This window comes from Homo sapiens, chromosome 22 (genome assembly GCF_000001405.40).
Source record: "Homo sapiens chromosome 22, GRCh38.p14 Primary Assembly".
NCBI lineage: Eukaryota > Metazoa > Chordata > Mammalia > Primates > Hominidae > Homo > Homo sapiens.
The window spans coordinates 29015483-29036155 of NC_000022.11; the positions used below are offsets into that span (position 1 = coordinate 29015483).

At 46.3% G+C, this 20673-nt stretch overlaps 1 protein-coding gene and 1 long non-coding RNA gene across 3 annotated transcripts in view, besides 1 other annotated feature; one reads left to right on the forward strand and one right to left on the reverse strand.

Moving 5' to 3' along the window:
• ZNRF3 (zinc and ring finger 3) overlaps positions 1–20673 on the forward strand; it is a 173917-nt gene that overhangs the window by 131911 nt on the left and 21333 nt on the right. The window lies entirely within an intron of this gene.
• Positions 9517–15994, reverse strand: ZNRF3-AS1 (ZNRF3 antisense RNA 1). Its single transcript, NR_046851.1, has 3 exons — positions 15909–15994; positions 15602–15674; positions 9517–11527 (listed from the first exon to the last, which is right to left on the reverse strand). It is a non-coding gene; the product is annotated as a ZNRF3 antisense RNA 1 (long non-coding RNA).
• Positions 15774–15943: an enhancer, noted in NCBI's record as "experimental_63211 CRE fragment used in MPRA reporter constructs". NCBI's record gives its function as "activates a minimal promoter by MPRAs in K562 erythroleukemia cells, with activity observed for both the introgressed and non-introgressed 22:29427329 variant alleles {active_cell/tissue: K562}" and the evidence as "EXISTENCE:reporter gene assay evidence [ECO:0000049][PMID:34662402]".

Below are 20673 nucleotides of genomic sequence, written 5' to 3' on the forward strand. Positions count from 1 at the left end.
AACATGGCGAAACCCTGTCTCTACTAAAAATACAAAAATTACCCAGGCATGGTGGTGCACGCCTGTAGTCCCAGCTACTCAGGAGGCTGAGGTGGGAGGATCACTTGAACCTGGGAGGCAGAGGTTCCAGTGAGCTGAGACTGCACCACTGCACTCCCGCCTGGGTGACAGAGTGAGATTCTGTTTAAAAAAAAAAAAAAAAAAATCCTTCCAGACTTCTTTCCCTCTCCCGTGGTTTTAGGAAGGGAAGGACAGCTGGGCATGATGGCTTAACCCTGTAATCCCAGCAGTTTGGGAGGCCGAGGCGGGTGGATCACCTGAGGTCTGGAGTTCGAGAGCAGCCTGACCAACATGGTGAAACCCCGTCTCTACTAAAATATAAAATTAGCTGGGCGTGGTGGCACATGCCTGTAATCCCAGCTACTCAGGAGGCTGAGGAAGGAGAATCGCTTGAACCCAGGAGGCTGAGGTTGCGGTGAGCCAAGATCACGCCATTGCACTCCAGCCTGGGCAACAAGAGTGAAACTGTCTCAAAAAAAAAAAAAAACAAAAAAACTGAAACTGGCTTGGCTGATGAAAGTTGTATCTTATACTGTGAACTGAATAATGTTGCAAGAGATTAAGTGATCATTACTAAATGATGCCCCTGGTACTAGTGAAGGTTGTTGTCATAGTTCATGCAGACCTGCACAGTGTATCGACCTCATGTTCACATGAAGATCTAGATACCTGATCAACGAAGTGTCCACTCAGCCCCTGTCAGGTGCATTCTGGGAGGTGAAGTGGTATGTGACTGCCTTGAAGGAAGGTGAAAGCCTAGAGACAGATTGTAATGGTTTAGAACTTTCTCTTTAGAAAATAGTGAATAAGGAAACAAGGCTTTGCTGGGGCAGGGGGTGGGAGCTCTGGCAAATAAGAGGTTCTTCTAGAACCCACTTCCTTTGTTCTACTAAGTAAAGTCTTGCTAACGCTGAATAATTATAGTCAAGAAAGCCTGAATGAGGCCATCCTTTTACTTGTTCAATAAAGGTTAATTTAAGGACCCAATGGGACTTGAGATAGAGCTTGAATTTAGGGATTTTTGCAAATTACCTGTTAAAGCCATGAAAACAGAAGTGTATTTGTTCCTTAATATGTGCATGACCTCTTACTATTTAAGAGTGATTACTGATTAACCAGGGAGTTTCAAAGGAGATGTTTTCATATTCAGATTTAAAGAAGTTGCTCCAGCTCAGAGAACTGGCTTCTGTTGGAGTGAGCTATGAACAGAGTAGGGCTGCTCTATCTCAGAGCATTGTTCATTCACCTGGAGAAACTTCCTTCCTGTGTCAAGCACCTGTAGCATGCTAGGGGTTGTGCCTGCCCAGTGGTGCACTAAAGCCACCTCTGCAATGTTTTCATCCAAGAAACATGAAGTAGGAAGGAAAAGTAACACTTGCCTAGAAAGGAAAGTTGTCTGCTCCCTATATTCTCTATGAAATTGAGACAGCTATTCTTTGCCCCCACAAATGGCCTTTAGGACAGAACCATTGAGTGTCAAAGACAGGCCCAGCCTCTGGAGTATACTTGTCTATTTCCATTTCCAAAGGTGAGATGTTTTCCAGGCAGAGCTCTGTCAGTTTTATGAAAGCCAAAAATGCATTAGCCACACAGGGTACACTTGTGCAGTATTTTAAGTGTAACTTGGTTGCCAACACTTGAATTGGAAGGTTTAATATAAAAATCCACATTTCTACCTTCTCTTGAAAAATCAGAAGGTCTGGCAGTGCTGGTGTCCCATTTCTCCTGGTAAAGGAAGCCCCAGCTGCCTAGAAGTTGCCCCCATCAGGCAGGTGTACACTGTCCAGTCTGCCACGGCGCCTGCCACTCTCTGCTGTCCTCACACTGCAGCAGCACATCCATTGCCGTAAATCTTAAGTGTGGCCCCTGTGGACAATTGAGTTTGCAATCTGTGTTGTGTGATTTTTAAATTGCAGGGAGGAAGATCATCCAGGCTGTCTGTGGAAAGTTGAGCAAATCAAGTGTGAACGCAGACCAATAATTTCTGACAGTCAAACCATAAATATGAAGAGGGACCACAGAGAAGCTGGATTAGCAGACTTGTATACTCTGATTTTGTCAAGCACTGGAAGACCAATTTAGGGTGACCATATCATTTGTCATCCAAGCTGAGACGCTTTTGAGAATGGAAGGGGTTATGGTGGGAGGAGAAATGTAAACTGGGGCTGTCCTGGGCATGCTAGGACAGAAACTGTGGACACCCTAGGCCTGTGAATGGGACATGGAAACAGAAAGCTTATATCCGTCAACCAGGATGAGTGCAGAAAAGACTCATAAGAGGAGCTCACATAGAGGCTACGCTGGTATAGAAATTGTTCTAGAAAAATTGGGCAAGATTTTGCAGAGAAAGGAGGCTTTTAGATGTGTCCTTAAGCATTGAAGCGCTTTGAGAGGTAATCAAGGGTCCAGGACAGCAGTTGAGGTAACATGAATAACCTATGCAACAGCTGGAAGATGTGCGTATGCCTTAACTTTTCAGAAATGGGGGAACTGTGTGGGTGGAGCATCTGGTGCTTGGAGGGCAGATAGTGTGGGAGGGGAGGGCGGACGGGCAGACCGGATCCAAACTGGATCCAAAGGAGAGTCTTGAACATTATAAGGAATTGAGACTTGAATCTGAGAAGGATGAGAAGACAGCTCAGGGCATCATGTATGGAATGAACTGGAAAAAGATTGGAGACAGAGAAACTGCTGCATTACAGGGTAGCAGGGATGCAAAGGGAGAGCCCACTTGAAAATGATTCTTTATGGAGATTGGATGTGGAGAGAGGAAGGGGAAGGGGTAGTGAGAGAAGAGGAGGAAGATTTGGGTTTCTAGATTTGTATGATGGTGATTCCCTTAACCTGAGACAAGTAATGTAGGTTTGGGAGAAACTTGGTGACTTTGACTTTGATCAGGACTAGAGCCCTGACTCTGACTTTGAACTGGAGCCCTTTGAACTCTAGCCCTGAAAAGGGTCAGGGCTAGAGATGAAGGTTGAGAAGTCATTAGATAGGGGAGTGTGTATTCAAACCAGGAGTCCAGAATGAGCTTGTCCAGAAAAGAGTATAGACTAGGAAGAGAGAAGGGGTACAGCATAGGACTTAAAGGAAAACAAGTAAGTGAGTTGGGACCATGTAAGAGTCAGTGAAGGGAACCCGAAGACCTCAGAGAGAAGAAAACAGAAATAGGCTGAGGAGCACAAAGCAATGTAAACAGGTTGGTAGAGTAGCAATAGTACAGATGACAACACGGGTGAGGTAGCATGGCCCTGTGCATTCATTTAGCACAGGTGTATCAGTTAGCTTTTGCTGCATAACAAACTGCCCTTAAAACATAGCACCCTAAAAACAACAGTCATTTTCATTGCTCATGATTCTGTGGGTTAGCTGAGCAGTTGTTCTGGTCTGTGCCAGCTTGGCTGATCTCTGTGGTCAGCTAGTGGTTCCTCTGGGACTGAGTGATCTAGGATGGCCTCACTCAAGTGTTTGGGGCCTCACCTGGGATAGCCATGCCCTCTCAACATGTGGTCTCTTATCATCCAGTAGACTAGCCCAGGCTTCTTACATGATAGTTCTCAGGGTTCCCAGCCGCAAGAGAGGGCAAGCATGAACACCCATGAACTATTCGATCCCCTCAAGCATTTTCCAAGCTTCTGCTGGCATTGTATTTGCTCATGTCCCATTGACCAAAGCAACTCATGTGGCCAAGCCCAAATTCAAGGGGTGGAAAAATAAGCTCAATTTCTTGATGGGAGGAATCATAAAATATTGTGGCCATTTTCTTTACTCTAAGAGGTGTGAATGTCTTGTAACACTTGGCAGGAGATATTTGATTCTTTGTGTCAATCATGTATCTTCCTTCTAGTTGAGCTAGTAAAGATTGAAGATTACAACAGAACAACTTAAATTCTGAAGACCCATTTAATTGTGATTATTTTAATTCTGTTCCCATATGAAAGCTGAAGGTAGTACAGGGAAAAACAGTACCACTTGCATTCATGACATGAAGCTAAAGCGATTACTAAAGAAATTGATAATACCCAGTTCAAAACTCAAACACAGGTCCCCTCTGTCAAAGCAGTACTGTCTGATTTGCAGCAATTAACATCTTAGTGCCATGTTATTTAAGACTAGATCAATGATTAGCAATCATTAATTGGCACCTACCATGTACCCAAACTACACCAAGCACTTTACACCCATGAACTATTTAATCCTCTCAACAACCCTATAAAGTACAATCACTGTCTTAGTTCTACAGATGAGGAAACTAGGGATCAAATATTAAGTGTCTTGCCCGAGGATATCAGTAAGTGTGATAGAACCAGAAATAGGAAATAGGGATTTCCCTCAGGCCACTGGGCTCCCCTGACTGTAGGCAGCATTAGCAAGTATGCACCCCACCCCACCCCCATCTTGATTATCCTTATCTTGATGAAATATAGTTGTCCCCTCACATTTGTGGGAAATTGGTTGCAAGACCTCCCCCCCAATCCCCCCATGGATACCAAAAGCCACAGATGCTCAAGTACCTTATATAAAATGGCGGTAGTATTTGCATATAACCTATGCACATCCTCCCGTATACTTTAAATCATCTCTGATTACTTTATGATACCTAATACAATGTAAGTACTATGTATTAATAAATAGTTGTTATAATGCATGGTTCAGGGAATAAATGACAAGGAAAAAAAGTCATGTTCAGTACAGACACAACCATCCTTTTTTTTTTTTTTTTTTTTTTTTCCCCCAAGACAGAGTTTTGCTTTGTCACCCAGGCTGGAGTGCAGTGGCATAATCTCGGCTCACTGCAACTTCTGCCTCCTGGGTTCAAGCAATTCTTGTGCCTCAGCCTCCTGAGTAGCTGGGACTACAGGTGCATGCCACCATGCCCAGCTGATTTTTTGTATTTTAGTACAGACGGGCTTTCACCATGCTGCCCAGGCTGGTCTTAAACTCCTAGACTCAGGCAATCCATCCGCCTCGGACTCCCAAAGTGGTAGGATTACAGGTGTGAGCCACCGTGCCTGGCCGCAACCATCCTTTTTCTTTTCCGAGTATTTTTCATCCGTGGTTGGTTGAATGCACGGATGTGAAACCCACTGATAAGGAGGGCCGACTGTATACTCACATCTACTGACCTGGGGTCTGCCTGCCTCCCAGAGTCCAGGTGGGCTCTGTTCTGCTGGTCTAACTTACCCATTCATCCAGATTTCATTGAGAGGGGCTTTGTTTTTGTGTGTGTGTGGGTGTGTGTGTGTGTGTGTGTGTGTGTGTGTGTGTGTTTGAGACAGAGTCTCGCTCTGTTGCCCAGGCTGGAGTGCAGTGGGGCGATCTTGGCTCACTGCAAGCTCCACTTCCTGGGTTTACGCCATTCTCCTGCCTCAGCCTCCTGAGTAGCTAGGATTACAGGCACCCACCACCACGCCTGGCTGATTTTTTGTATTTTTAGTAGAGATGGGGTTTCACCGTGTTAGCCAGGATGGTCTCTATCTCTTGAGCTTGTGATCCGCCCACCTCGGCCTTCCAAAGTGCTGGGATTACAGGCGTGAGCCACTGCACTCGGCCTGTTTTAAAAATACTGTAATCCCGGCTACTCAGAAGGCTGAGGGAGGAGAATCACTTGAACCCAGGAGGCGGAGGTTGCAATGAGCCAAGGTTGTGCCATCGCACTCCAGCTGGGGAAACGAGCGAAACTCTGTCTCAAAAAAAATAAATAAATAAATAAATAAAAATAAAATAAAATACTGAGCCAGTTTTAGTAGATAGCAGAAGGAGGTATTATGTTGCTCGATCTGCATAATTTTTAAAACTGGCTTTGGAATTTTCCTATATTAACTAAAATTAAATGCATTCACATGGTGAAAGGTTGTCTGTGTCAAAATAGTTTTGCTTTGAAGTAATAAGAGGCAATAATGGAAAAAGAATAGTTGCAGATTCTCCCCTCACTCCTTGTTTTAATCTTTTTTTTTTTTTTGGAGACAGAGTCTCGTTCTGTCCCCCAGGCTGGAGTGCAGTGGCGAGATCTCGGCTCACTGCAACCTCCGCCTCCCAGGTTCTAGAGATTCTTCTACCTCAGCCTCCCAAGTAGCTGGGATTACAGGCACGCGCCACCATGCCCGGCTAATTTTTGTATATTTAGTAGAGGCGGGGTTTCACCATGTTGGCTAGGCTGGTCTCGAACTCCTGACCTCAAATGACCCACCCACCTCGACCTCCCAAAGTGCTGGGATTACAGGCGTAAGCCACCGTGCCCGGCCTTGTTTTAATCTTTATTGAAGTATAATAGACATGTGATAAACAGCACATATTTAAAGTGCACAATTTGTTAAGGTTTGACCTATATGCACACACACATACACACACACACATGCACACACACACACCCATTAAACCATCACCACAATCAAGATGAACATATATGTCACTCCCCCCACATTCCCTCAATTCCCCTTTAAAATCCCTCCCTCCCTTTCCTGGCTTCCCTGCCAAACACCAGACAACTACTGATCTGCTTTCTCCTACTGTAGACAAGTTTGCATTTTATAGAATTTAACACGAATGGAATCATGCAGTATATACTGCTTATTCTGGCCTCTTTGACGCAGCATAATTATTTTGAGATACATTCATGTGGATTGTGTATAACAGTAGTTCATTTCTTTTTATTACTTTTTAAGAAAAGAGAACGCTGCTTTTTTTACTCTGAACTTGGGCCAGGATGATTGAAGTTACCTACGAATTGTACATTAACCAACTAATGGCAGTGAAGAGTTAATCTGTAACTTCATCTGTTAGCTGTTAACGTGACCCCCAAACCTAACCTCCTCTTGACTGTCAGATCCTGATCCCAGACACACTTTCTCTAAAGGCTAAAACTGAAGTAGGACTGGAGACTTGGGGAGCCTGGTATTTCTGAGTCTTGGTTGGTCCCTGCCCATCACTGGATCTTGGTGTAGCATGGTCTCATGATAGTGTGAGAACAGGGTTAGGTATGTGACTGTGTGACCAGCAGTACTCTGTTAAAAACCTTGACTTTAAATTACTTCATGAAGTTTCAGATGGGGGAAAAAGAACCCACAACCCTGACTTTTGTCAGCTGTCCGTCTTACAAGTCTGAGTTACGCAGATGTCCTAATCCTTTTAGAAGCAATCTCAGTAGGTTGGAGAATTTATTGTTGTTACAGATACTCACTTTAAAATGTATTAAGTGAACTCAATTGGTATATTTGAAAATACTTTAATTTACCCTTCTTTTCAAGATTCCATCTCCCTTATAAGCTACCATACACTTGCCTGCTAGCAGGTCCTTTATAGTCAACTTCCCTGTAACAAATGAGAGTTTTTTGGGTATAAATGTATGGGGTACAAGTATAATTTGGTTACATGGGTATATTGCATAGTGGAAAAGTCAGGGCTTTTAGTGTAGCCATTACCTGAATTATGTATATTGTACCCATTAAGTAATTTCTCATCGTCCACCCCCCTCCCACCTCCAACAAATTGGTTTTTAAAAAATTCTTTCCTTAAATGCTTGGCTTCAAATTTCCTGGTACAGGAATTCTGTAATTCTGATAAAAAATTGCTTGAAATAATACACAAAATGTCTATGTGTTTACTAATAGATCCTGATTAAAGTTATTATTGAGAAACTAACATTGGAGTCCTCTAAATTCTGATTTCCCAGAAAACAAAAAATCTTCAATATTATAAAACTTAATGGACTCTACAGAAGTCGGGGCAGGGTTGACAGGAAGCAGTTGGCTCTGATGGAACACCCTCCCCCGCTGCCAGCACACTCTGACCTCAGGAAAGTCATGCCTCCTTTGCAAATCTTGGACATGGGACTAGGTGTGCTTTCATCCCACTCCAGGACTGAGGGACACTTGATTCAGATAGACCATAGTCAAGGTCCATGTTGCCTAAGAGACCCTCTTTGTCCCCCAGCATGAGGACTGCAGTGACTTTCAAGTGGCTCCCAGGAGTGGAGAAGCAGGCTGCTTCCCTTGCATGGGATCCATTAACTCCCAGGCATGGAGAAGCAGGCTCAGTTCCCTACGGTGGGCTATATTAGCTCCCACAAATGGAGAAGCAGGCTCAGTCTCTCCTTGGGTGTGCTGCATTGTCTCCCAGGAATAGAGAAGTAGGATCAGTCATTTATTCCATGTGGGGCTGTCTGGCCAGAACTCTTCCCTCCAAAGGGAGTGGTTTGTGGTCCCTCTTCTGGATTTGGCTCATCAGTCTTTCCAAATGTCCCAGCCACCTGGTAGGTATGCAGTTTGATTTGTTTAGCCCCCAAATGCCAGCCAGTTCCCCATGCCTGCCTGATAGCTGGGTGCCTCTTGAGCCAATGTCGGCATATTCTACAATTACCTGCTTATTTGTGGGGGTTACATAGTGCTTGTAGTTATAGCTCTCTCCACTTACCCACAAACCAGACTGCCAAACTCCTGGATCATAAAACAAAGTGTAAGCACCCTGGATCATGACCCAGCTCTTTTCCTGTTCTTCTTTTGAGACTTTCCTAACAGGAAAGGCTCTGGGTAATTGATAGAGATTATCCCTGATTCCCTTAATGTAACCTTTTTACTCTTTCCTTTTCCTGGGATTAAGCTGTTCTTTTGCAAGAAGTCCTTTTCTTAATGACAGTCATTCACCTGTTATTGACCAAAGGAAGCGATCCGGCCCAACTCCACCTTTCTGTGGTTCAGTCTCTCGAGTCTCTTTCATTATAATGACTTTCAAAGGCATTAACTGTTTTTTTTTTTTTGCTTTCAATTTTCTGCACTGTTAAAGGCTGTCAAACTATACTTTAATCTGCCTTCCTGAAACAATAATTGCCCCTGTATTTGTTGGTGAATATGAGTGTTAATATTGAGTAGATGTTTTAATATTTGCTGAGGGTTCCCAGGCAGCGTGCGTTGCTACTGAGGTCTGCTGTTCACAAGATAACAAGTTGATATAAAGTGGAGACACATAGGCTCAGTCAGCAGTGCCTTTCTTCTTCTTGCAGTCCTGTGATATTTCTCTTCTTCAGGGCACTTACCTCTCACTGTGCATGTAGGGTCCCTAGTATAACTACTAGAACACCATGAGAAGAGGCACTAGATCTTTTAGGACTAGGTTCTTTTGGCATATGATTGTACCTTCATGGTATATGCTCAATAAGTATTTGTTAAATTAATGAATATTTTGTCTGGAAGCACATTGCCACAGGACTGGGCCTTGGTGTAGGGATTAGGGAACCCCTTCCAGAAAAAATAAAATTTCAGGTAGTGACCCAAAAATGTCAGTAAACCATAGTGACTGCTTGGATGCTGTGTTCCAGAAACTAAACTGTGGGCATGCCAGCTGCCACCAACAGAAAGGGTAATCACTAAATAGTTGTTAAGTTTATACAATGGCCATGTGAGTGGATAATAATACCCAACCATGCAACCCTGTGCTACTTTTTTTTTTTTTTTTTTTTTTGAAGACAGAATCTCGCTCTGTCGCCCAGGCTGGAGTGCAGTGGTGCCATCTTCGCTCACTACAACCTCCACATCCCAGGTTCAAGCAATTCTCCTGCCTCAGCCTCCTGAATAGCTGGGATTACAGGTGCCCACCACCACACCTGGCTAATTTTTGTATTTTTAGTAGAGACGGGGTTTCACCATGTTGGCCAGGCTGATCTCGAACTCCTGACCTCAAGTGATCCACCCGCCTCGGCCTCCCAAAGTGCTGGGATTACAGATGTGAGCCACCATACCCAGCCTCTATGCCACCTTTTGCTAACCTCTCCCCTATACTTGGTGTGTCTGCTGCCTCCACCAGCACCTTTGATATCCAGCTGCTGGCTGGCCTTCTCTTCCTCTTCATTCTGGCAGCTTGGCCTCCATGAAGTCTTTCCTGACCACACCAGCCTATGGCACACATCACCCCCATCCAGGATGCTCCATTGCAGAAGTGTATTGAGCATCCTTCAAAATAATCCCACCCAATTAAACTCTTAATCCATTTGTTTCCCTTGTTGGTCTAGTTCCATTTCTCTTTCTTTCTTTTTTTTTTTTGAGACGGAGTCTTGCTCTGTCACCCAGCCTGGAATACAAGCGCATGATCTAGGCTCACGGCAGCCTCCTGAGTACCTGGGATTACAGGTGCAGGCCAACATGCCCGGCTAATTTTTTGTATTTTTAGTAGAGACGGGGTTTCACCATATTGGCCAGGCTGGTCTCAAACTCCGGACCGCAGGTGATCTGCCTGCCTCAGCCTCCCAAAGTGCTGGGATTATAGGCATGAGCCACCGCGTCCAGCCTCTAGTTCCATTTCTTTAACCTAGTGGATTGCAAGCCCCTCACTGCTTTCCAGCCCGAAAGGGGCATTGATGGGATTGTGAACACAGGACAGAAAGTAGTATTAATGATTATTGTTACACCCCGGATGCGTGGTAGGGATGCTTGGGAGCACCTTTATTCTCCAGCTAGCATTAGCTGTCGGGCTGAGGAAGGCTAGCTTGATGACTCTGCCACTTTTCTCCTTCCCCCTCCATCATCAGCACCATTGTGATGACTATTTATTGAGTACCAGGACTGGAACGCATTTGGGAGAAATAAAAGCATAGATTTGACACAGCCTTCATTCTGTTAGCCTATGGAAAGGTGATTATAGCACTTGTTACTTGAATTAGACCCGAAAATATAGCACATTTTAGGGTCTAATTCAATATAGGACACTCTGCGTTTAACTTATGTTTTACAGCCTAACTCATGACTGCTATGGCCAATATCCCTTCTCCACACCCCCAGACCCCATCACTAAAATTCCTTCTAGTGGCAGAACCGTCACCACTTATCACAGATAAGTGGATATTAGTTGGGCAGTTGACATACAAGTTCTGTGACTTGGTTAGCTCAGTTCAGAGTATGTTTGAGGGCTTACTTCAAGAAAGCATGTGTTTCATTTTTTAAAAATAGGTCTTAAACCTGAAAATGGTGTCCTTGAGATTCTCATCGTTCTCTATTTTTATCCTGTTATCGCAGAAGACCCATCTGGAACTTGCATTCCATTGCTGTCTCCTACTCAAGGCAGAGGCTCCTATGCAAGACCCTGGGACTCCTGTGGCATGGAGGCCAAAGGCCTGGACCCAAAAGTCAGGAGGACTTCTGCCACAAACCCCAAAAGCTTGCCCCGTATAAATGGTTGCTCTTGTGCCCATGGCTGTGTCCACCCAGCATTTTTGTGCCTGCTGGGTTCCAGGTGCCATGCCAAGACCTGGTGACCAGAGGATGTCTGTGATCATTGTTGTTTGGAGGCTTTTGATTGTGAGGGACCCAGACTTCTGCTTTGGGGGTATCTTTCCCCAGACATCACAAAAAGCTCAATTGTTTATTGCCTCGAAGACACATTTTCTCTTCAACAAGCGCTTTCCTTAAGTCTGAGGTAGAGTAGCATAAGTGGGTTTCTTGAAAACCAGAAATGTAGCTGAGAAAGCAGTTGGGCCATTCTAGGAGGGAAAGAACAAGGGCTTGATGAGTTAGGTTAAGAAGCACATTCCCAGCTCACCATCTCTCCCTCTCTTACCTCCTTAGCATCTTGGTCTGTGGTTACGCATCTTGGCTGCACCTAAGAGTTGGCCTGAGGAGCTTTCAAACCTACAAAGGCTAGATCTACCTCCAGCCCGGTTCCCATTAGTCAATCTCCAGGAAGGAGTCTACCCCTCTATTTTTTATTTAATTTTATTTATTTATTTATTTATTTTTGAGATGAAGTCTCACTCTTGTCCCCCAGGCTGGAGTGCAATGGCGCGATCTTGGCTCACTGCAACCTCCGCCTCCCGGGTTCAAGTGATTCTCCTGCCTCAGCCTCCCGAGTAGTTGGGATTACAGGTGCCTGCCACCATGCCCAGCTAATTTTTGTATTTGTAGTAGAGACGGGGTTTCACCATGTTGGCCAGGCTGGTCTCGAACTCCTGACCTCAGGTTATCTGCCCGCCTCGGCCTCTTGAAGTGCTGGGATTACAGGCGTGAGCCACCATGCCTGGCCCCCTCTATTATTTAATAAGCTCCCCCAGGCATTCCGACATACCACTGGGCTGACAGCCACTGACCACCCTCTGCCAGACTCATGCTGTGTCATCATTTCTTGGCCTAAACTGGGACGTCCCTGCATGTATATGAAGTGTAACATGGTCATGTCAACTTCCAGAAGCCTTCAGGAGATAGATTCAGTGTCATCCCCATTGTGCAGATGAAATAAAACAGAAAATTCATCACATGCTCACAGTCACAGAGCTGGGAAGGTGAGCTAGGATTTCAGTCCAAGCAGTGTGAGATACCCCCTTTTCTTCCTGCTCTTCCACTATAGCAGTGCTAAAAAGAGCCTGGGTTGGCCAGCCTGGCTTTGGTAGGGTGTCATCAAACTGACTGCACCCAGATAAGAATAACATGGCTGAGGGGGGCCATGTAACTGCCCTTCTCTAGAGAAAGGGATTTGATTCTGTAGCTGTTATAAATGATTTTGGTTTAAGGTGAAGAGATAATGAAATTTTCTTAAACTCTACTAATACAAAATCACGTAAAAGGAGTCAATATCATAGGGTACACAGGGGACCATTTTGAAACAACTTAGATCCTTAAGAATAAAGGATGAAAGTTGTAGTGTTTGTGAACTTGCATTGGCTACAATGGCAATGAATATAACGCCTTTGGATGAAATAGTCTTTGACTAAATAGGCCTGAGTTTTTAAGCAGGTAACCCTGTACAAAAGTAGGAAAATGTTCCACCCTGCCACCTCTCAGGGAGGGCCAGATGTGATGCAATGAGTGTGATAGGCAGCAAGGGGAGAAAAAAAATCCCTCCTTATGTTGACTACATGAGCTGCACGACATTTGTAAAGGGAAATTTCAAGAGAAGGGAGACCAAGTGGGTTAGGATAAGAGCTATCTGGAATTTCCTTGTGTTACCAGGAAATATAATACTTACATAAGCTATTAATGGAATATTTGGAGGTTCAGCATTCACATTGATATATGTGTACGTATCTCCATTACACTTGATTTTAGAACCCCCTGGGACAACATGAGTATTTCTCTGGCCTGGGATTATGGAGAGAGGCTTAGGTCAAATGTCAGCTCTCCACTTTGTGGCTGAGTATCCATGGGCAAGTTACGTAACCTTTGAGCCTCCAGCTGTAAAATGGGGATCAACACCACCTCCCTTGCAGAGTTGCTCTGCAGATTCAGTATCATTTGAAAGCACTCGGTGCCTTGCCTGGAACATTAATAGGTACTTTCCTTACTTTCCCTCTTGGAGTCTCAGTACCACTCTATGACCAAGCAGGGGGGCCGTGCTTTAAGGCCCCTCTTTTAAACCTTCTGGCCACAGGGTGAGGAGTCCAAGGGGAAGCCCCTGTCCAAACCATTCCCAGCATCCCTAAACTCCCCTAAGATGACCTTGTGTTGGTTTCTAGCCCTTACAGACCTCTCTTCTAGGACCATCCTCCTGGAGGCACAGTGCACTGGCAGCATGCCCCTCTTCCCAAGGATGTAGACACAGCTTGGCCTCAAAGCCTAGGGTGTTCACCTGCCTGTGTACAACCCCCTCAAAGTGCAGGGTGGACCAGGGGTCAGCTGTCTCCACACTGACATGCTCTGGCAAGGAGCTCCAAGGAGTTGGAAAGCTCACCTGGAACCTATGTTTCAAGTTCTTATGAAGGTACATATGTCAAGATAGAAGAGTAAGATCTATTTTATTTACTAGTTTGTTAGCCCTTGTCCCCTGTCCCACGAATGTTAGAAGCAAGCAAAAATGCTTTCATCCAAATTACCTTCCTCTTCATAAAAATAAGAAAATCATGTAATCAAAATAATCTTCTGCCTTCTCAATGAGTTTACCACCTGATTCAGCAATTTTCTAACACCTTCATTTGCCTCATTGTAAGTAGTCCCAGTGCATGCTGGTTAGATGGCCTCTGGGTCTACATCAGTCCAACTGAATCAGGAGAGGAGCTCCAGAAGGTGCACTGGACAGTCATGCCAGAGGCCGTGTGCAATTTTAGGTTAGATCAGTGGTTCTCTGCCCTATCTGAATTTTAAAATAACTGCGAAACTTCTAAAAAATATATTGCTGCTGGGGTTTTATCTATATAGATCAAATCATCTCTAGGGGTAGGTCCTGGGCTCGAGTTTTTTTGTTTTTGTTTTTGTGTTTTTTAATCTCCCCAGTTGCCTCCTCCGTGAGCGAAGGTTGAGAAGCATAGCTGCCCCTGTGAGGAACTCAGCCTTCAGAGAGAGCCTGCCCGCCGCCTCTCATCCTCCAGAGAGGCTGTAGGGTGTCCAGACTTTGCAGGCACTGTTGTTCCTCGTTAAGCCTGATGCTGCCACCTAATTAACACTTGTTTATATTAATTAGTTGCCATATGCATTGAAGGGGAGTGGTCCTTTTTGAAGTTTCTAGTTGCTGACTATATAAGATTTGGCCTGAAGTGGGACTTCTGGAAACTCAACCAAGATAACGACTTCCAGGTTCTTCCAAAAGCTTATCTTCCAGGCATAGGCAGGTAATGAAACAACCCAACTGCGGTTTTTTCCATAACATCTTTCACCCCACAGTATCGATGGAGCAGGAGGGTGTGGACAGGCTTTCCTGGGTTTTTGGTGCTCCTTGTCAGGTGTTAAAACAAAGAGGATCATTGTGTTTCTTGGAACTGGCCTAAACGTCTATGTTTAAGATTAAGATCTAGGGAAATGCATTTCCGTTTGACACCCACTAGTTTCTGATTGTGAAAAGGGTACCAACCTGTGCAATGGCGCCGCGACCCGGCCGCGGACTCCAGCCTCTAAAGTCGGGTACCTTTAATTAGGAGAAATTAAGTGGGGCTGCTACATATTTTGAGAATAAGTAACACTATTTAAACTTAGGCAGCCTTAACCACTAACTTAACCGCTGAATTCTCGCTGCTACATGTCTCCTAAATAGATCAGCATAATCTTAACTAGGACTTAAAATGCATCATCTTCGTTCCGGAACTCAGAACCTGCAGCCGACGGGAGCCTTTGGAGGCTTAATGACTTTAATTATGGCGAGAAATATCTTCTCCCGGTGGGGAGGGGCGCGGCCGGTGGCGAGGAGGGCACTTTCCCGGGTCGGAGAAGGCCGGATGGCAGCCCGCCCCGAAAGTCCCGGCCCGCTGGATTGGGGGTTCGGGGGTGGGGGGAACATAGAGAAGCAGGGCTGGTGGAGGGGAGGAGGGACCCTGCAGGGCGGTACACGACGGGTGGGAGTGGGGAGGAGGAGGGCTCCTGGCGCGGGGAGGAGCCGCGGGAGGGGGGATGTTGGCCGCAGGGCCTCGGAGTTCTGAGCTGTGTTTGTGGCTTCAGCGCTTTGATCTCCTGCCAGGGAAACCTGGAAGGTCAGGCCGGGCTGCAGCCAAGCCCTGGAGCGAGGAGCCGGCGGGTGGAGCTGGCAGCACTGCGCCACCCACCCTCACCTCCCAACCCCCCAAGCAGTGAAGCCCGCCTGGCCGCCCTGGCCTCTCGCCCCCGCTCCTGCCGCTGCCCCTGCCCCTGCCCCTCTTTACCTCCTGTGTGTTGGTCTCCTGTAGGCCGTAGATTAAGGGGCTCCAAGTCTTGAAAGTAAGCTAGCCAAATGCCCTGCAAGTTTGGCTTAGTAAAATCATGTATGTTGTATATACTTTAAAAGAAACCAGATATTTTTTTAAAGCTGTGTGCGTCCCTTTCCTCCACCCTCCTCATCCCCACCCTAGTACAAATTACCCAAGAACCACAGGTGATTCCCCCTGCTGGTTCGTGAGTGTTAGGGTCTAGTTTGCCTCTCCTCTTCTACCACCACCACCACCCCCGTTCCTGGCACCAGGATTTTCTCACCGGTTACCCGTGTGCTCTTGGTGTGTGACCTCATTTCCTATGGAATGAAAAGTTTCTGTCGGAAAACAGGGCCCTTGGTGAGGCAGGCCTTGGGAGCCCCCTTGCCCAGCGAGAATGTCCTGTGTCATGCAGTGACTCATGCTTCAGAGAACAGCAGCTGACCAGAATGTTCAAGAGCCTGGTGCCTGGGTGGTCACTACTAAGTGAAGAACTCGAGGAGGAGGAAAGGAAAAAGTGAGGAGTAAGGATTTAAAATCCACTTAGTGGCCTCCAGAGGGAGGGGGATAACAGGACTCAAAGAGCCTGGGCTCTCTGGCCTGGGGTAGGACCCGCCAAGAGGGACCTGTGGGCGTCAGGCGTGGCCAGTCCCTAGGACCGGCTGGGTGCTCTCCATCGTGTTAACCGCCCTTTTCCCCTCCCTGACCACAGGAGCAGGCCTGGTGGCGGCAACAGAAACAGGGCTGGTTCCTGCCGCCCTGCATTTCAGCAGTGACGTGTTCCAGGCTCCGGCTTTAGATGGCTGTGTCTCTCAAGCCTTCAAGCCTATGCTTAAGTCTCTTGTTACCCCAAATTAGGGCACCATTGAGTTGGGGATTTTGAAGCTGTGGTAGAATTTGCCACCAGTTCACCCAGAGAGCCAAGGCGCCAGAGCTTCGCACCAGGTGGGGAAAGCAGCCAAACCTGCACTTTCCTGGGGTTGGGCCGCTGTATGGTGTGGCCATATTTCTCCGCAGGTTGCAGGATGAACTCCATCAGTCTTTTAGGCTGGAGGAAAGGCAAGGCCCCCTAGTGATAATGGGAGGAGGCTGTAAAAATTCACATACAGCCTGTTCTTGTGGACATGGCCAAGGGTAGTCATCTGGCCAGCTTTCTTTTGGTAAAGGTACTAAGGGAGGCTCCCATTCCTGCAGAATGGATGGAACAAACACTGCAAGTGGTTGGGCTTGTTTTCAGAGAGCTTTGATATCCAGAGATGAGCACACGCAGGGGCTGGGGCCTGATACAGATCCACAACAAGGCCAAGCCACTTTTAGTGCCTGGGGTCAAGGTTGGCCGGAGGAGACACGATGTCTGCATTCGAACTGACAACCAGTAAAAAGGCTGTCAGGAAATGCAACAGCAGAAGATGGCACCAGTAATAAGAAACCGAATCCTGAGAATCTTAAAGTGCGAAGAATATTATGTTCCAAGAAAATTTGGTAGAGAACAGACCTTTCTAAAAAGTCAAAGGGAGGAGATAGGTGGCCTAGAGTGAGCTGCAATCAGTGCTTTCAGTAGCAGGGCCCATGGTGTTTGATGCTAACCCCTAGGGCAAAAGCTGATCTTTTAGGTTAATCAACAAACATTTTTTGGCCATTTACCCTGTGCCAGGCCTTTTGCCGGGTTCTGGGAATTCAGCAGGAAAGAAGTCTGACACACTGGCTGCCCTTTAGTGAAGGAGGCATTTTAAGTAAACAATGACAGTGTGATGTCATAAGTGCCACAGTGGTGGAGCACAGCATAAGGCCACTGGGCACCGCAGCCTGAGGGAATAATACCTGAACAGAGAGAGAAGCAGTAAATGAACCCTGTGGCAGGGGGTGGGTAATGTGCTCCTCATTGTTGGTCTCCTGTTACCCCACATGTGGCCACCATTGAGTTTGGGATTTTGAAGAGAACTAAAAGAAGCTCAGTCTAGGCCGGGTGTGGTGGCTCAGGCCTGTAATCCCAGCACTTTGGGAGGCCAAGGAGGGTGGATCACCTGAGGCCAGGAGTTCAAGACCAGCCTGGCCAACATGGCGAAACCCTGTCTCTACTAAAAGTAGAAAAAATTAGCCGGGCATGATGGTGCACACCTGTAATCCCAACTACTCGGGAGGCTAAGGCAGGATAATCGCTTGAACCCAGGAGGTGGAGGCTGCAGTGAGCTAAGATTGTGCCACTGCACTCCAGCATGGGCGACAGAGTGAGACTCCATCTCAAAAAAAAAAAAAAAAAAAAAAGGCTCAATATAGTTCAACTTAGGAGTTTGAGTGTTGTGTTCAGAAACAATAAGCAGGAGGAGGTCACATCTTACCCTAAGAGCAGCACAGTCATTGGAGAAGGGTGGTGCAGGTCAGATCCATGATTGAGAACGGTCCCTCTGCTACTGCATGGAGACCGTGTTGGGGAGGGGGCAGGGGCGTGCAAGGTGGGCTGGGCTGAGGAGCCCCCAGAAGAGAATGTTGTTGGGACTTGTGAGAAATCTGGTGTCCTGGCCAGGGTGGCAGCAGTGGGGATGAAAAAACGATGGATGGATTTGGAAGTCAGAATCAGCAAAATTTGGTAAGCCATTGGGCATAGGTGAAAAGGCAAAGGGCTGCAGTTTTGACTTTGCCCCATGGGTGGAGGAATGGGGGAGATGGGGTACCTCCTTGAGGAGGGAGCCCAGGTTTGGGGGAAGTAAGGATTGTATGAAGAGCAGGCCCATGGCAAGACCCCTTGCACCTACATCCACCCGAGCAAGAAATGACCCAGAAATGTCCGGGACAGTGTGCTGTGCTCTGCGAATAGCTGCAGAAGTAACTTGGGGACCCAAAATAAAGCAGAATGCTAATGTCAAGTCCTGAGAACCAAGCCCTGGGACTCTGGTGCCATTTTGGATTCTCCATGAGCATGGTTTCTGCCCCCTTCGGTCACACTACTTATATGTAAGTCTGTCAGAGAAGAGGCCCAAGTGAACACTCACTTGGATAAGAAGGGGAGAGACCTCAGTGTCTTCATGCTGCTGCTTGCTAAGCAAGGTCTCTTCACCCAGGACAGCAGCAAGTGTGTTATGACAGACAATTCCAGAAGGTCCTGGATTGTGTCTTCCTTGGGATGCCTGGCACCCAGTTGGCCCTCTTCAGTAGTTGTCAGATGGAACTGTATACTCGAATGTTTCCATACTGATAACCATCTCATTTAAATTATGGGTGCCATTTAGTAATTGGTTTCCAGATCAAAATGTAGGTCTTCTGTCATATCCTTCAGCCTTCCACCTGTGAGTTAAAGTGATGGGGAGTGGGTTAAGGGGATGATACTCCTCTCACCTTGACATACCATGAGCCATGGAGCAGAGTCCTCAAGCGTGCTCCATGGAAGGGAGAGTGTTAACAGGAGTTGCTGCAAACAGGCTTTGTGTTCAAAAAAGTTTGGGATGCTGGGTAAAATAGGAGCCTCTAGCATGTTAGTGATGTATATGTCAGGGATAGCTCTGGAATGTGCAGCATTTCTCAAAGGACACCGACCAGGAAAATCATTCCCTTAGTAGATGCACTTTGGGAAAGGCTACTATAGAGATATGAGGCAAGTGAAGCCATGTTCTTAATTTCTTACCCATTTGCCCTTGGAACTAAATGTACATGCTCTTCCTTATTGACTCTCCTGGACTCTTCAGAGAGGGATCTGCCAGCACCATGGGCAGGATGTGTGCTTGGTGAGGACAGGGGTCTGTGACCACGCTTGCTGCCGGCTGCTGTATGAGTCCCCAGGGTCTAGAACACATAGTAACCAGTTAATAACTACCGTGGAACAACTAAATTAATACATGGTTAATGCAAATAGAATTTGACTGTGAACCATGCCCAGGGCAGTCTGCTTTGTTAGACCTTTTTTTTTTTTTTTTTTTTTTAATAGACACACGGAGTCTTGCTATATTGGCCAGGCTGGTCTCAAACTCCTGGCCTCAAGTGATCCGCCCACCTCAGCCTCCCAAAGTGCTGGGATTACAGGCATGAGCCAACGCGCTCAGCCATGTTAGGCTTTATGGGGCATACCAATGTGGTCGGTAAGGTCTACCTCCTGGCTCCTGGGAGTTTCTGTTAATCTCCAAGGGTATGCCTGGCACCCAAGCGAGGCCTTTATGTATAGGACATCTATACCCTTTGACTCAGCAGAACCACTCATGGCTATTAAGGACAGATGCCTCCAGAATATGAGTACAAGGATATGAATACAGCACTGTTTATAACAGAGAAAATATAGAAATCTGCTACGTGCCTCTTAGGGAGATGGTCATTAAAGGAGCTCTGAATAACCATACAATGGAATGATATGTGTAGCTGGTAAGAAGAATGAATATTTTTCCACATCAATGCATATAAATATTGTTGAGTAAATTGTTGAGTTAAGGGGGAAGTAGAGTACAGAACAGTGTATGTCCAATATGTCCAGTCTATTTATTTTAAAATTTTTTTTCTTTTTGAGACGGAGTCTCGCTCTGTCGCCCAGGCTGGAGTGCAGTGGCGTGATCTTGGCTCACTGCAAGCTCCGCCTCCTGGGTTCAAGCAATTCTCCTGCCTCAGCCTCCTGAGTAGCTGGGACTACAGGGGCACGCTGCCACGCCCAGCTAAATTTTTTTTTTTATTTTATTAGAGGTGGGATTTCACCGTGTTACCGAGGCTGCTCTCGAACTCCTGAACTAAGGCAATCCACCCTCCTTGGCCTCCCAAAGTGCTCGGATTACAGGTGTGAGCCACTGCGCCCGGCCTTAAACGATTTTTAACAGCTGGGGTCTATGTTGCCCAGGCTGGCCTCAAGCTCCTGGGCTCGAGCGATCCTCCCTCCTCAGCCTCCCAAGTAGCTGGGATTATAGGTACTAATCCAGCATATTTTAAACTACATTTTGGTGGGCGTGTGTCTGTAACACATGCATTTTATTCTTGCCAATATGTGGGTTAAAAAAACAATGGAGGCTATAAACCACACCATTATGTTAAAATGCTGGGATATAGGGGGTAACAGATGAGTTATTTTTTGCTTTCAA